The 17,381-nt window shown below is 43.2% G+C and overlaps 2 annotated features.

Annotated features, from left to right (window-relative positions):
- Positions 13,530 to 14,447: an enhancer, noted in NCBI's record as "OCT4-NANOG-H3K27ac-H3K4me1 hESC enhancer chr3:137585401-137586318 (GRCh37/hg19 assembly coordinates)". NCBI's record gives its function as "activates a minimal SCP1, AML or CMV promoter by ChIP-STARR-seq in naive and primed H9 embryonic stem cells {active_cell/tissue: H9 hESC(naive and primed)}" and the evidence as "EXISTENCE:reporter gene assay evidence [ECO:0000049][PMID:30033119]".
- Positions 15,720 to 16,221: an enhancer, noted in NCBI's record as "H3K27ac hESC enhancer chr3:137587591-137588092 (GRCh37/hg19 assembly coordinates)". NCBI's record gives its function as "activates a minimal SCP1, AML or CMV promoter by ChIP-STARR-seq in primed H9 embryonic stem cells {active_cell/tissue: H9 hESC(primed)}" and the evidence as "EXISTENCE:reporter gene assay evidence [ECO:0000049][PMID:30033119]".

Genomic DNA, 17,381 nt, shown 5'->3' on the forward strand with positions numbered 1-17,381 from the left:
ATATTTCTCACACAAGCAAGAAGCAGACACACACACTCATACATACGGGCCATTGTGTGGGCAAATTCCTTCTGGACCAGGGATATGTATCTCTGAGAAAAATTTATTTTTGCTTCCAATAGAAGAGCTCTCACTACATGGCCTTCTAGCTGTGGTACGTGTCACCAAAAAGACTCCATGGTATGCGTGACTTGAGATGAATGCTAGGCACCAATGGAAGAAGCAGGCAAAGAAGATTTCACCTCAGAAGTAGGAAAAGAATCACTGCTATCATTTGCGCTTTTGATCTCCTCTTCTTTTATATGTCATAAACCAACCCAAAACTTAATAGCTTAAAACAATATCCGTTGTATTATCTTTCATGGTGTTTGGGGTCAGAATTTTAGGCTCAGCTCTATTGGATCCATGTTGTATCAGCTGAGGTCACCTGATGATACTCAGCTGGCATTTGGGCTGGTTTGGATGGTCCAAGATGTCTTTACTTATTTATCTTGTGCCTAGGAAGAGATGGCTGGAAGGCTGAGCTCAGCTGGGACTGTCGACTAGACCACTTGCTAGCCTCTCCAGCATGGCATCTCCGGGTTCCCAGAGAGAATGTTCTCATAAACAGGAAGTGGCACTGGCCACTTTCTCTCTCTGGGTCTGGAAACTGGCATAGCATTACTTCCAACATTTTCTGTGGGTTGAAGCAGTCATAGAGCCTTCCAGGGGACACAGACCTCACCACCTAATGGTGGAAGAGTTAAGAATATGCAGTCATATAAATCTACAATTATCTCAAAAAATTCATTTAAAATATATGAAGCAAATTATAATATTTAAAAAATAATATGCAATTATCTTTAATCCATCACACATTTCTTCATTATGGGGAGCAGAAAGAGAAAATTAGGTTACAGATGGTCCAGTGTGGAATGTGGCATTTGGGAACATTAGAAGAAGCAAAGAGAATCACTCGTACATTTACTGCCTGACAACCAAAGTCACAAGTTTCTGGAAGGTTAGACTTGGATGAAGCTGAGGAGACATGAGATACATGTGGGGAAGGAGTAGAGGTCTCCAAATCAATTTCCCAAATTCTGCAATTCAATTCCCAAATCTCCAATTCAAGTGGTTTTCTCCCTTTTCTGAACTTGCCATAAAAATCGTGGCAAATTTCTCCAGTGTTTCCTCCAAATGATCATCATTTTTGAATGGCTGCCAGCACAAAAGTATTTATTTCTTCAGTGAATGGATAAACAAATGAATCTAACTTGGCTTCTTGAGGGCAGAAATGTATCTTAAATATCTTTCTATTTATCAGGAGCTATGTAGTGCATGAGGAATGCACAGGTCTGCCGTATGGTTTCTGTGTTTCTTTTTCTTCATTGGTTCTGACTCCTTCGTCCTGACATAATTTATTGGAAGAAATTTCACTGCAGGGTAGCTTGTCTTCTAAAGCCTCGTTTTGTCCACCCATTCTTTCTGGATGTTTTTCTTCCACTTCATGGGATAACTTTCTCTTCTTTAGGTTTAACACTTTGAGGAAGTAGTTGAATATTCCCTGTTTGCAAGACTTGGTTTCATGAGAATCTTGGAGGTTTCTAGTCCCCATTCAGTTGTGAGAGGCTGGGCAGGGACTCTGATGACACAGCCACAGGGGAGGGCCTAACGCCAGAGCTGGGAAATTCACCCCTTTTGTTAGTGCTTTGCATCTGTCAAATGCCAATTCAGACTCCCACCAACAGGCACATTTAAAAGGATACATGTTCAGGAAATTTGTTATCCATGCCATTTCAGTGAGAACCAATTCTATTAACTCCTCCGAAGCCCGTGCTTTATGACTGGGCTTTCAGAAGGGAGTCTTGAATAAACTTTTCAGTGATTTCACAACACTTCCATTATGGCTGTTCCATTATGAAGCAGATGAACATTTTCTTGAACAATTAGACGGGGTTGTGTAGAATAAAGAGTGAGGTTTGCCTGAGATCACAGAAACCTATCTGCTTAGGGTGATTCATTTTCTTCCAACAAGGCAGCCAATAATAAGCTTTTCTTCTGGAGCCTTGTCTTGCTTCCCATTTCAATTAGTGACAATCACTGGAGAATGGGAGGAATGTCTTCTTCATGTCCTTGTGCTGCAAACAAGGCTGGCCAATGACAAACAATGAGGGAGGGAGGGTAAAGCAGAGTGGGGGCAGCAGAGGAACTGCAGGAAAACCAGCCTGCTTTCCCAGGAAGACTGCAGCACAGGCTGGAGTCTGGAGGAACCAGGTGGCAGAGCTAGGATGGAGAAGAAAGATTTTCGACTTGGATCTAAATGCAGCAGGGGACCAGGTCGCTGCAGAGAGAGTGGCAGGTGCAGCGTGATGCCGAGCATCACTGCCTCGCTCCATATCTGAGGCAGGTCCGATCCTCGGGCCTTGCCCCTGGTATTTGGGGCAGAGCAAACTGTCACACTTTCTATGAGACATTTGTACACGTATGTTTCTTGACATAGTTCTGCCGCGTTGCTGATTGGACATAGAGAGTTTCATTGTTTTCCTCCCACTAGGTGTGTCAACTGATGGCTCTTTTAGAGGCAATGTGAAGATGAGAGAAATCCAATATCAAATTCATTCATTCATTTATTCATTCTGAATAATGAATGAGGGCTTACTGGGCATATACCGCATACAGTGATTTGCAGGTGTCTCCACTTCAGGCACATGCACTAGAGAGGCAAGCTTTTCACTTTTTTGTGTCTGTTCCCTCCTCCATCACACTTCTCTTGTCCTCCCTCTCTACATGCAATTCTTATCTGGCAAATATTAAGAGCTCACTTCTCCATTCCAGACCCTGTTTATGTTCCTGCAATACAAGAGTGACCAGATCACAGCCCCTGCATTAAATTCTAAGAGCTACTGTTACAAAGTACCACAAACTTGGTGGCTTAAAACAACAGAAATTTATTCTCTCATAGTTCTGGAGGCCAGAAGTCCGAAATCAAGGTGTCAGCAGGGCCATGCTCTTGCCAAAGGCTCTGGGTGAAAAAGGTGAGGATCTTTCCTTGCCTCTTTCTGGCTTCTGGTGTTTGCCAGCAATCTTTGATGTTCCTTGACTTGTAGATGCATCACTCCAGTCTCTGCCTCTGTCATCACAGGGCATTCTCCTTGTGTCTCTTCATATCATCTTCCCTCTGTGTATGTCACTTTCTGTCTCTTCTTTTCTTCTTTTAAAGACACCAGTCACATTGGATTAAGGGTCCACTCTAGTCCACTCTAAGGTGGTCTTACCTTAACTAATTACACCTGCAAAAATCCTATTTCCAAATAAGATTGCATTCTCAGGTTCCAGAAGGGAATGAATCTTCAGAGACGCTATTCCACCCAGTACACCGCTCTTCTGGAGCTCAGAACCTAAGGGGGAAGAAACTCAAGTAAAAAGTAATTGCAGCTTTGAATGATAAGCAATACAAGGAAAGTCTGCACAAGACCCAAAGGGAGACACAAATAAAGAAGACATCAGTTCTGAAAGTTGGTCTGGAAATTGAGTGAACTTAAAGGGAAAGATAGGGATGGCCCAAACCCAGGGTGTTAAATTCCCAGCCAGCTGCCCATCACCCCTGAAGATCTTAAGGGAGCAATGCAGGAGACATAATTTTTTTTTTATTTTACTTTTAAGTTCTGGGATACATGAGCAGAAAGTACAGATTTATTACATAAGTATACATGTGCCATGGTGGTTTGCTGCACTCAGCAACCCATCATCTACATTAGGTATTTCTCTTAATGCTCTCCCTCCCGTAGCCCCCTGCCCCCCGACAGGACCCAGTGTGTGATGTTCCCCTCCCTGTATCAATGTGTTCTCATTGTTCAACTTCCACTTATGAGTGAGAACATGCAGTGTTTGGTTTTCTTTTCCTGTGTTAGTTTGCTGAGAATGATGGTTTCCAGCTTCATCCATGTCCCTGCAAAGGACATGAACTCATCCTTTTTTTATGGCTGCATAGTATTCCATGGTGTATATGTGCCACATTTTCTTTATCCAGTATATCATTGATGGGCATTTGGGTTGGTTCCAAATCTTTGCTATTGTGAACAGTGCTGCTATAAACATACGTGTGCATGGAGACACAATTTTTATTTTTGTTTTGTGGAAGGGCAAACCTGTGAGCTGGGCCAGACTGTGGGTGACTTACCACACTGCCTTTGTGTGGGCCAAAGAAGCCAGGTGGCCTCCCTAGCTTCTTGTTCCCCAGTGCACTCCCAGGACTTGGCCTCCACAGGGGACCCCTTCATGGCAAGATGAAACAAAGTAGATGAAATGCAAGGAGAAAAGGTGGGATCTCATGGAGGTCCATTTATTGCAGAGCCTCATAAAGAGGCAAACCATACAATGACTTGGGGTTTTAGCCTCTTCCTAATTTCCAGCCCCTAGCAGTACCCTTGGCCCTCTCTCCCAGTGCTCTTCCTCTTCCTCTGGGGTGCAAAACAGTAGCAGAAATTTTAGGGTTTCCCCAGATATCAACAAGTAAAATAAGAAAAGAAGGAGATGTTTGAGTTGAATTGTTTGAGCTCTTTTATGAAATGAGAAGAGGATTGAGAGGCAGGATTGGAGAACCTAAGATGCAAAGGCAAAGAGTCACAGCATAGCCACTGGCATGACCGCCAACACCCCAATATGCATACATTTCTGTACTATAATTTTGGCTGGAAAAGGCTTCTCAGATGTATAGGTGACTTTGGGCCTGATCCAAGCCACCACACTATTCTCAGCATCTTATGCTAAGCAGATAGGTGTCTGGGATACTATAAAATCCTTTCAGCAAGGATATTTTATTCTTGGGAACTGTTGGGATATATGAAAAAAGATAAAAAAAGAGTCTACCAAAGTTAGATCTTATTTTAAAACCTGCACCTAACTGTTGATAGGTCCCAGAATCATCCAGGATAGTATAAGTATCATAAAGTATTTAGTGTTTAGTGATGGGATCAGGATTCAGCCTAATCAAGTTGGATACATAGTGTTCAATAATGTGCTGAATGTGGAAAGTTAGTTGCTTAGGCAATGGTTCTCACTCTCTGCAGGGCCAAATAGGTTTTTTGTTTGTTTGTTTTGTTGTTTTGTTTTGTTTTCCCCACTCCCTTCCATTCTGAAGAAATGGTCTAACTGTGTAAGACCATACAAGGATGTCATACCAAGGACAAGGGTAAGCCTGGACCGGGAGCAGAAGAGGGATGGATTGCAATATCTAATCTGTAAGCACATCTCTGGCATATATTACTATCTAATAAATAGTTGGACTTGATCTTCACCTTGAGTCATATTACAAAGGGATTCATCCTATTACCTTACACTCTAGGAAAGGGGGAATGCCTCGACCTCCCTGGGAGAAAATATATATATATAATTCCTATTCTCTCCCACACAGGGAGTAAAGAGGACTGGAACATCTCAGTTAACACCAACGTTAACACCATGTTAAATTAGCCACATTAAGAGATGTCTTCATCCAGACCATCATGAGGTAATTGAGCTGCTTGATGGACTTCTCAGATCCTTCTGTGATGAGCTGACACCTGCTCCCCAGTGGTGGAAACGCAGCTCTGCTCACATCCCACGGGTATCACCACCCCTTCCCCAGTGATGCTGGGTTTTTGTTGTTTGTTTGTTTGGTTGGTTGGTTGGTTGATTGGTTGGTTTTTTGATGTTTTTATTTTTTTTTTCCAGCTTCACTGGATCTTTTGGACTCAAATGCTGCTGCATCTGGATCTGAGCTCACAGAAGGGGATTGCTGCTTCTACATGATGAGGTGAAAGGTGCTCCATCTCTAGGCTGGGCAAATTTTCTTTTGCTCCACCCAAGGGGTAGCCTCCACCTCTTTCTACTCATCCTTACCACCTTCATGCTAGGAGATGGTGGGATCCCTTTGAGGTCCATTTGGAATACTGCCTGTTGTCCTATGTCCTTTGTGTGAATACCAGTGTGCTAGGACAGAGTGGAAGCCCTTGACCAAGTTCTCATAGGTTCAGTGTTACCCTATAGCACTGAGACAGACATACCTCAGCCTCAGAGCATTTCTCAAACTGGCAGGAGTACTGAGTGGTGCATTTTAAATGCAGGGTTCCTGAAAGCTACGCTATCTCATTTGAAATGAGGCCTGTGTCTGGCCTACATGTCCTAGGACCACACATGAGGTCTCAGGGAGTTCCTTTTTTTTTTTTTTTTTTTTTTTTTTTTTGAGACGGAGTTTCATTCTTGTCACACAGGCTGGTGTGCAGTGGCGTGATCTTGGCTCACTGCAAACTCCATCTCCTGGGTTCAAGTGATTCTCCTACCTCAGCCTCCAGAGTATCTGGGATTACAAGAGCTCGCCACCACGCCCAGCTAATTTTTGTATTTTTAGTAGAGATGGGGTTTCCCCATGTTGGCCAGGCTTGTCTGGAACTCCTGACCTCAGGTGATCTGCCCACCTCAGCCTCCCAAAGTGCTGGGATTACAGGCATGAGCCACCGCACCCAGCCTGGGAGTTCTTAATCATACCATGTTATGCTGGGATGCCCCAGTAGCCCATTTGTAATAGCTCCTGGAGAATATTCCTCAGTTTAGCAGTCTATGAGATAAGGCTACACTTTCTGCTCCTTTGTCTGCAGCAAAACAGAAAACAGAGGCCCACAGGTAGCCTGGCTTTGGTCTCAAAAGCAAGAATTGGGAGTGAAGAAAGTGGTGTAATTCCCATTTGAGGACCCATGTATTGCCTCCATGGGATTATACGTTTCTTTGGGATAATAGAGAGTAATTATAAGCTGTTTGACCTTCAGCGAGGAAATTTTTCATAATAACCAAGTCTCCAAGTCCTCCTTTGATTAGACTGAATCTGATCAGAGAAGAATTTTTCCCCTAATATCTATGCAATAATAGACACTTGCTCATCCCTGATAGGACATGCTTAGAATTCATGACTACAGGATTTGTCACCACAAAATCTGTAGTTTCAACTGTCAGGTTGTAGAGACAAAAAGTTGATGTATACTAATTGTTGTCCTTCACTGGTCTGAGTGGTCTGAGTTTTCAATCTCCCCCTGTCCTATCTTTGACAGTAGGTTTCCACTGCATATATATTGGGCAGGGGTGTCATAATTCCTCTAAATATACTTTGGGCCACAGGAATGGAGCTGCATTTATTTATAGCTACTTCTGCTTCTCTTATATCTGAGATCTTCATGCCCCACTTAGCACCGTAAGGTGATCTTTCCCAGAACAATAGTACCTACACTCATAACCTCACCCACAGCCCCAGTGATGCACATTTGCATATAATGTACTTGTCAATTATCTCCTTTTTTTCTAACAGGTGCAGCTGAAGTTCTTATCTTGGGTGGGGTTGAGAAGGGACAGGTACAAAGCAAGCATTGACCCCAGGGTCATTTAAGACTTTCTTTTTTCCATATATGTCCACTCATGTATAGTACACAATCTACCATCTTTACTTTTGTGTTTTTTAGGACACTACTGACTGCTATGGTCTGAATGTTTGCATCCTCCTCAAATTCATGTTGAAACCTAATCCCCAATGTGATGGCATTTGGAGTGGGGCCATTGGGAAGTGATTAGGTCGTGGGGGTGAAGCCCTCATGAATGGCATTAGTGCCATGGGATTTGAGGCTGAAGAGATCAAAGTCCTTGTGTTTTGTCATGTGAAGTTACAATGAGAAGATGTCCCTGTATGAAAGAAGTGGACATTCACTACACATCATATCTGCTGGTGCCTTGATCTTGGCCTTCCCGGCCTCTAGAACTATGAAAAATAAATTTTTGTTGTTTCAACTATCCAGTTTATGGTATTTTGTTATAGCAGCCTAAATAGGCTAAGATACTGATTCACTGAAAAAGACTGTTTTTCATTAGGCTTCCTATGTTGTGATCCCCATACTTACAAGATTGAAAAGTTTAGATCCTGCTTATAGAGTTATGGCAGAGTTTTTCTGTAACTCCATCATAACCTATAGCCTATAGTTCTATAGAGCAGATATACTGCTCCACAAATGAGTGATCATTTGGGCAATTTTGCAGATCTTATGATTTCCCTTTCTATGGATCTCAGCCTCTTGAAATCGTCCCACTGACCTTTCTCACAAGCTTCAATCCTACCCCGGAGTTGGAACCTAAGACTGACAGTTATTTGTTTTATGGCTGCTGGAAAGAACCTCTGGAAGTGATGAAGGGTGTTGGCCAGGCCCCTTCCCTTGCCAATCCCCAGGCTCTTGAGTCTTTCAAATGCACCAACCTCTCTGCAGCTAAGCCCTTACTGATAAAGAATACAGAAATCACTGTCCACTAGACCTCCCATCCAATGCTGCCTTGCAGCGTGCAATTTTCTGCTGATAAGTGAGGCGCTGTTATCAGTCCACATTCAGAATGCTACTCCATGCTTACTTCTTAAATGTATTCTCAATAGCCCACTTCAGCTCTAGAAACTGCAGATATAAGTAGAGTATCAGGCCTCACTGTCAGAAAGAATGCAAAAGGTTCGCTTTCTACAGTTTTCCTGGCACAACCTTCTACTCACAACCACCCATCAACCTTCCAAACCAGCTTGTATGTGATTAGAAAGGATATTGGGGTCAGCTGAAGGCACAGCAGGAGTGGAATGGCCATTCCACTCAGGTTGGCATGCTGATCACCTCTCACCAAACAGTTCAGGGCCTAGGCCAAACCCTTCTCTTTCAGAGCCTAAGACTGCCCACCCAGGCCATCCGTGCTCAGAAAACCTGAAGTTAAATTAGTAAGGAGTTTGACAAATTACTCATTATAACCATCAAACCCCAAACTCTCCTTAGTTTTCTAGGATGGAAGGTGAGAGCTCAGATCTTAGCCCCACTTATATGAGGACTCACAGCAGAACAGACAGCAGCAAAGAAACAAGGTAAGTCATCAGCAACAAACAGTTGGTTCTCATAACCCCTCAAATCCTTGCAACACAATCATGCCCTTCAGAGACATAAGTGCTTCCAAGGGGCTCTTAATCCCAGCTACCATCTCCAACTTCAGTCCACTCACTTGCTGTACCTACACCGGGCTCTTTTTTATCCAAGATCATGTTCTTTCCTTTCTACTTTCTTTGCACTTGCTGTTCCCCCTTCCTGAATAATTTGTCCCTGTGTCTTCTCATTGCTGGCTCTTTCTATCCCTCAGGTCTCAGGGCTCCTCAGAGTCTCTTTTTCCTGTCCCTACTTAAAGTAGCTCCTCGCTCCCACCTGCTTCCAATTTTTTCACCCTGATCATTTATATTTATACACTTGAAGATATTATCTGCTTCTGCTGAGTCTCTAGAACCCTCTCACCTCCCACAATGAAATGTTCCTAAGTATGTTTTGGGCTGTGGTTTCTCCATCAAATTCCATCTGCTTTCTGATTGCAACTATTCCTTCTACATTCTGGTAAATTAACATAGCCTTTTCTTGTTTTCCAGAACGGTTATGAGTTTTTAAAGTATTTTTCTGCCATTTATATGGTTTTATGATGAGAAAAAAGGCCAAAATATGTGTTTAGTATGCTATCTTGATCCAATCTCTTCTCTCCAATTTCTACATGCAGGAAATGAGGTTCAGAGAAGCTAAGTAACTTTCCAGTTCACACAAGCTAGGAAGTATGGCAGAGCTAACGTGTATCATGATGATAATGAATATCCCCTGGGATTGGCATAATAATGAGGGTACCGCAGAAGGGGAATAAGTCTTTATTTATACATTTACCTAGAGTCATCCCTAACTTCAAATTATCAGGTCTATCTGGATTTTTGGTCCAAGAAAATTAGACATGGATCTCATAGGTATAGCAAGTGATACAGATGGGAGGCAGGGAAATACTGGATAGAAGAGGGCAGTTCCCAGGCAAAGGCCTGACCCTCAAGCCTGGAAGCCACAGCTTGTCCTAAATAAGAACAATTATTCCTGTTTTCCCACCCAAACGTTGGTTTTTCCAAAACCACCCTGGCCCACCACACCCCCCAACCTGTATCCATAAAAACCCCAAACTTCACCAGCAGAAGAGCAGAGTGGCGTGGCAGAGAACGAGTGAGGAGAAGAAGCAACAGAGTGATGGAGACTATGGATATGCATGCTTAATCTCAGATGGCACAACTTTGGAGAGGAGCCCTGCGGGAGACAGCAAGGCTTCAGGGAATGATCATCTTCTTCTCGCATCATCCCCCTCCCAGCTCCTCTTTGTGAGAGCCACCTCCATCACTCAATAAAACCTCCTCATTCACCATCCTTCAAGTCCATGTGACCTGATCCTTCCTGGACACCAGACAAGGACCCAGGTATCAAGAGGGCAGGATGTAAAAGGCTGTCACCCTGACTCTCCACTGAACTGGTTAACACTTAGCCATCCACAGATGGCAAACACTAAAAGAGCATTGTTTGTAGCACACACTCTCTGGGGCTCCAGAGGTCTTGGGCAACCACTAGATGCTGCCACAGGCTGGTAAAGGGTTCATTCCTGCTGGTGCCTAAAGGCACTCACCCCAGCTCCTGCACCTGCTCACCTAAGTGCTCCCCCTCCCACAAGGGGTTTGAGCTCAGTGGCCAAGCAAAATGAGCCATCCCCCCGCTCTCCCTTCACAAATCCCACAAGAGGGTCAGGGAACTGCCCCATCTCACAAGGAGGTTCAATAGTTCCAATATTTCTTTTATAGAATATTCAGTCTATTTCATTAAAAATCGTTCCTCTTACAGGGATTATTCAAGTCTAAAGACCAGCTTTGCACATGTCAGCATTGCATACTATATTATGAGGCAGCAGAGGATAGAAAAGATCACTGACTTTGGAATTAAACAGGCCCAGTTTTTACTAGTTCTCTGATCTTGCATTTTGTAAAATGAGGACTTTAATTGCAATTCTTCGTGGTTAGAAGCAATACATGATAAGCTGTCATTAATTAGTAGTTGCTGTGAGTATTAATGGGATAGTCTCTTGATAAAACAATATAATACATATATATTTAGTTTAAGCAAGATTTCTGACCACCTTAAATTTTATTTTGGAACTTTTATTCAAAAGATTATTTTGATTTCTGTACTTTTCCCATAAAACCCCAGCTTCAGTTATCCTTGCCTTTTGATCTATGCTCTGTTTCTGCTACCCTCAAAACTTGTGTCTCTTGCCCCTTGGAGGCTGAGAATTCTCTCCATGTAAGCTAGATAATAACAGCGGGTTTTCCCAAATCAATTCATAAACTTTAGTTAATCGTTGCTGATTCTAAGGAAATAAGAAGAAATCTTTTTACCCAAACAAAATGTACCATAAACAAGGTTTGCCTACATTCCGCACAGTAATGCATTACAAAGAACTGAATACATGAAGCTGCTAAAGAAAGGGAAGCTATGGAGAATGTTTTCATGAGAAGAAATGGCAAAACTTATGGGGGATATTGAGAATGTAAGTCCTTGAACGGAGACTGATTGGAAAAAAAAATTATGAAAAGATTGTCTGCCTGAATAATAGAGTAACTAGCGACCTTGAACACAGAAGGAATGTAGAATAGAAGAGAAACAATGAAGTCTTTTTAGAACAGAGAATAATACTCATAAGAGGCAATTTTTAAATGAAAGACAGAATGCTCTATAATAGAAATACTGGAGGTCTGAACCACCTTGTAATTCATAGAGAGGGGAACACCAGTGGCCTTGCTTAGAAACCCACAGCTAAGAGAAGGGAGAGCAGCTTGAAATAAAATTATTGATTTCCTTGGAATGAGGCCAGTATGACATCCTCTTGTAAGGCTTGGCTGGATTCTTACAGGATCACTTTGAACAATGAAATCTAATGAATATGCAAAAACAAAAGCCAAGGCACATCTGGTTGCACCAACAAGATGTAGAGTAGTTTGCTTTTTAAAACAAAACACCCTGTTTTCCTTCCTTTTATACACTTTGTAATATTTTCCCTAATGAAAAAAGAAGTTTTCATCAAATTTCAGGCAAAAACAATTTATCATGAAATATTATAGAGCTTTGGTGGTAAAAAGATAACCATTAAGTGATATGAGGGGGGGAAATGATGATTTTTAGGCCTCTCTTCAAATATAGTTTGGAAAGCTATAGTGGCCTTTTATTATTTCTGGCTACCCAGCATCTCTCCTCTCCCTTGAGGTATTATGTGCCTCTTCTGGGTATCCCCACCTTTGGGGAACTGCTCCTGCCCCTTTTCACAGGTTCTGGTGGAATTGCCAAGCAAGAGACTCCATTCAGTGGCTTCCCATGTGCCTCTCTTTTCTGAGTTGGAGGTGATTGTTGTAACTTCATGTGGCAGAGGGGCCAAAGGAGATCTCTCAGGCCTCTTTTGTAAGGGCACTAATCCCATTCACAAGGGCTCCACCCTCACAACCTAATCACCTTCCAAAGACCCACCCCCTATTACCATTACTTTACAGGGTAAGATTTCAACAAATGAATTTGGAGGGGAGGACACAAATATTCAAACCACAGCACTGCACCCCTAGTCTCCCAAATTTCAATTCCCTCTCTCATACAAAATACATTTGTTTCATCCCAGTAGTCCGAAAAGTCTTAACTCATTTCAACACCAATGTGAAAATCTAAAGTTTCATTTAAATATCATGCTAATCAGATATGGGTGATATTCAAAATTTGATTCATTCTGAGGCAAATTGCTCTCTAGCTGTGAACTTGTGAAACCAAACAAGTTATGTGCTCCCAAAATGCAATGATGGGACAGGACAGGCACAGGACAGACATTCCCATTCCAAAAGAAAGACATAGGAAGGAAGAAAAAAGAGGCAGGTCTCGATCAAGTCTAAAGCTTTAAACCTGGAGAATAATCTTTTTTGACCTGATATTTTGCCCTCCAGGCTCACTGCGACAAAGGTCCTGCCATTAAGATGGAGGAAGAACCCTCACTTAGGGGATTGCAGGTCCCCCCAAGCATGGAAATAAAGGAAAATCTTGAGTGCCTTCAAGAGAAATCCCAAGTACCTAGCTATCCCTGAAAAGTAAATAAGTAACTTGATAAGCAAGAATGTAATAGTAGCTTAAAACAATAGCCCAGGAAGCTGGAATCATAGGATGTTTGGTTCCTCATAGAAACTAAAGATAACATCTTAACACATGTCTCTGTGTTGTTTTTCAGAAACCCATAACTCCACCAAATGGATCCACTGGCATGTAGATCTCAGATAAGGGGGAACTGCGGACTGAACTCTGACCACCATTCTTTATTCTAAAGTTCTTCCTGAAGGGCCTGGAGGAGGTCACGCTCATGAGCCAGAGCTAACAGTCTTTTCTCCTGACCTCAACATTTTTAACAAAGCTTCTCTTCCTTAACCAATTGCAAATCAGAAAATCTTTGACTCTACATAGACTATGACCTAGAAGCCCCCACTTCAAGATATCCTGCCTTCGTGTAACCTCTCAAAACTAATTTGTAGCCTCCATGTATTGATTTAGGATTTTGCTTGTAACTTCTGCCTTCCTGAAATTTATCCCTACCTTGAAAAAATCCTACCTTCAAGCAATCTGGGAAGTCAAGACTTGAGCATTAGCTGCCTGATCCTTCTTGCTTGGTGCCCTGCAAAGAAAGGCCTTGCTTTCTCCCACTGCAAATTTTGGTGTGGATATCTGGCCTTACTAAACACAGTGAGTGGACCTTAGTTTGGTTTGATAACATCTTCCCTACCCACTGGGCCAGTGGTCCTGCCTCCACAGATTTGGGCAGTCTCTCCCTGATGGCTTTGCTGGGAATAGCCAGTCCAAGGCACTCACAGGTTGGAGTTGTGTGCTTTCAGCTCTTCTGAGCTGGAATCACACAGGTGGCTCTACCATCTGGGGTCTCAGAGGTGACCCTGCCCCCATGGAAGCTCTCTGCTTCATCCCCAGCTCTCTGGAACATACTTTGGAATCTAGATGGAGGCAGCCATACCTCCGAAGCTTTGCTGGGTGCAGCACTTGCTGCACTTCAGGCCGCCAAGCAGCATGGCAACCCAGCGCAGTGAGAGAAGCCTGAGATGTGAGGTAACACAGGCACCAGGGATTCCCCACCCTTGATATTGCTCCAGCCCCAGGCCCTGGCACTCTAGGCCTATGATAGGAGGGGCAATCCCAGTGATCTCTGAAATGCCTTTGGGGACATTCTTGCATTGTCTTAGGAATATGTTCTGACTTCTGTTTAGACAGCTCACTAATCTCCCCATTGTCTTGATAAATAGCACCTGGCTTCCACTGAAATGCCTGATGTATCAATCACTTGGCCACACCCTTGTTGTCTTCCAAACAGGTTTTCTCATTTTTTCCGATAGAGATAGGCTGAGATTTTTCACAATTGTTAAGTTCTGCTTCCTTTTCATTAACAATTGTAGCTTCAAATCATTTCTCTCTTCTTGCATTTTATTATAGGAAGTCAAGAGAAACCACACCATACCTTCAACACTTTGCTTAGCAATTTCCTCAGCCAAATATCCAATTTCATTGCTCACAAATTAAATCTTCCTCAAAATAATAGAACACAAAACAATTTAGCCATGTTCTTTGCCACTTTATTAAAAAGATAGTTTTTCTTCCACTGTCCAATATCATATTCCTCATTTCTGTCTTTCACCTCACCAGAATGACCTTTATCATCCATATTTTAATTAACATTCTGTTTATGACTGCTTAGGTATTCTCTAATAAGACTGAGGCTTTCTCTATAGTTTGCCTCTTCTCCTTCTGGGCACTCACCATAATCACCCTTACAATCTATGCACGTCAATGCAGACTTATTCTAGCACACACTTTAAAATTCCTGCAGCCTGTACCCATGACCCAGTTCCAAAGCTGTTTCCACATTTTAGGAATCTGTTACAACAGCACTCCCACTTCTCAGTACCAATTTTCTGTCTTTGTCCATTCAGGTTGCTATGACAAAATACCATGAACTGAGTGGTGGCTTTACCCGATCAGTTTTTCAAAAAGGATCCTAATGATTTTTTTTTTTTAAGGCAACAGACCCATGCTTGAGAGAGGTGGAGCAAGATGGTGGAATAGAAGGCTCCACCAAAGTCCCCGCTACAAGGACACCAATTTACCAACTATCTATAGTGAAAAAAACACCTTCATAATAACCAAAAATTAGGTGAGCCCTCATAGTACCTGGTTTTAAGTTCATATCACTGAAATAGGCACAGAAGAGAAAGATGAAACAGTCCTGAATCCCTGATGCCACCCCTCCCTGACCCCCAGCAGCAGCAGCATGGTGCAGGGAGCATCTCTAGGTGCTGGGGGAGGGAGAACACAGCCATTGTGAGGCATTGAACTCAGTGCTGTCCTGTTAGAGCAGAAAGGAAAACCAGACCAAACTCAGCTGATGCCTGCTCATGGAGGGAGCCTTTAAAGGAGCCCTAGCCAGAGAGGAATCACACATCCCAGCTAACAGAACTTGAGTTCCTGCAACCCTCACCACTGAGGGCTGCAGCACTCTGTGTCTCCAAGTAAACTTGAAAGGTCATCCAGGCCATAAGGATTGCAACTCGTAGGTGAGTCCTAATGCTGAACTAGGCCCAGAGACAGTGCCTGAAGGAGGGAAGGGTGACATTTACCCACTCCCCATTCCCAGGCTGCACCACTTGCAGCTCCAAAAGAGACCCCTTCCATCCACTTGAGAAGAGGAGAGGGAAGAGTGGAGAAGGCTTTGTCTTGTGTCTTGGATACCAGCTCAGTCACAGCAGGATAGAGTACTCATCAGAGTTTTGAGGCTCCCCTTCCAGGCTCTAGTTCCCATACAATGTTTCTAGACACACCCTGGGCCAGAAGAAAGGCCACTGTCTTGAAGGAAAGGACTTGGTCCTTGAAACCTTTATCTTCTGCTCACCAAAGAGCCCTTGGGCCCTGAATAATCAGCAGGAATACCCAGGTAATATGTCAAGGGCCTTGGGTGAGGCTCTGAGACTTGCTGGCTTCAGGTAACAGCATGGCACAGGAGGGTAGGGCACTAAGTGAGCTTTTAGGATGTCTGATTCCAGGACTTGACACAGATGGCATTTCTGGACCTGCTGGGGCCTAGAAGGGAGCCCACTGCCCTGAAGGGTGAGTCCAGGTAACATTTACCACAGGCTGACGTAAGAGCCCTTGGGCCAGAAGGGAACATCGGCAGTAGCCTGGCAGTACTCCTTATGGCCTGAGGTGGCAGTGGCCATGGGGTGAGGCACCTTTGCCTTTGGGAAAGGGAAGGAAGGGTGGGAAGAACTGCATCTTGTGGTTTGAGTGCCAGCTCAGCTGCAGTTACAATAGAACGCCAGGTAGACGTCTTAAGGTATTTGATTCTAGTCCCTGACTCCCAGACAGCACATCTAGACCCAGCCAGGACCTCGCTACCCTGAAGGGAAGGACACAGGCCTGGTTGGTTTTGCTACCTGCTGACTGTAGAGCCTCAGGGCCTTGAGAAAACATATGCAGTACCCAGGGAGTGGTTATAGCACACCTTAGGCAAGACCTAGTACTGTGCTGGCTTCAGGTCTGACCTAGCACAGTCATAGTGGTGGTGGCCACAGGGGTGCTGTGTCACTCCACCCCCCAGCTTTAGGTGGCTCAGAACAGAGACAGAGACTCTGTTTGTTTGGGAGAAAGTAAAAGAAGAGAACAAGACTCTTTGCCTAGTAATCCAGAGAATTCTTCTGAATCTTGTCCAAGACTATCAAGGGGATACCGCTACAAGTCTGCAAGAAACACAGTATTACTGGGTTTGGAGTTTCCCCTAAGGCAGATACAGCTTAAATCACAACACCCAAGTCTTCAAATACCTGAAAATCCTCCCAAGGAGGACAAATACAAATATGCTCAGACAGTGAAGACTACCATAAATACCTAACTCTTCAATGCCAAGACACCAAAGAACACCTACTAGAATCAACACCATCCAGGAAAACACGACCTCATCAAATGAGCTAAATGAGGCACCAGGGATCACTCCTGGAGAAACAGAGATATGTGACCTTTCAGACAGAGAATTCAAAGTAGCTGTGTTGAGAGAGCTCAAAGAAATTCAAGATAACAGAGAAGAAATTCAGAATTCTACCAGATAAATTTATCAAAGAGATTGAAATAATTAAAAAGAATCAATCAGAAATTCTGGAGCTGAAAAACCCAACTGCTGTACTGAAGAATGCATCAGAGTCCCTTAATAGCAGAATGGATCGAGTAGAAAAGAAGAATTAGTGAGCTTGAAGACAGGCTTTTTGAAAATACACAGTCAGAGGAGACAAATGAAAAAGGAATTTAAAAAAAATGAAGTACACCTACAGGATCTAGAATATAGCCTCAAAAGGGAAAATCTAACAGTTATTGGCCTTAAAGAGGAGGTAAAGAGAGAAATAGGAGTAGAAAGATTATTAACAGAGAACTTCCCAAACCTAAAGAAAGATGTCA

The sequence above is a fragment of the Homo sapiens genome, chromosome 3, assembly GCF_000001405.40.
Source record: "Homo sapiens chromosome 3, GRCh38.p14 Primary Assembly".
NCBI lineage: Eukaryota > Metazoa > Chordata > Mammalia > Primates > Hominidae > Homo > Homo sapiens.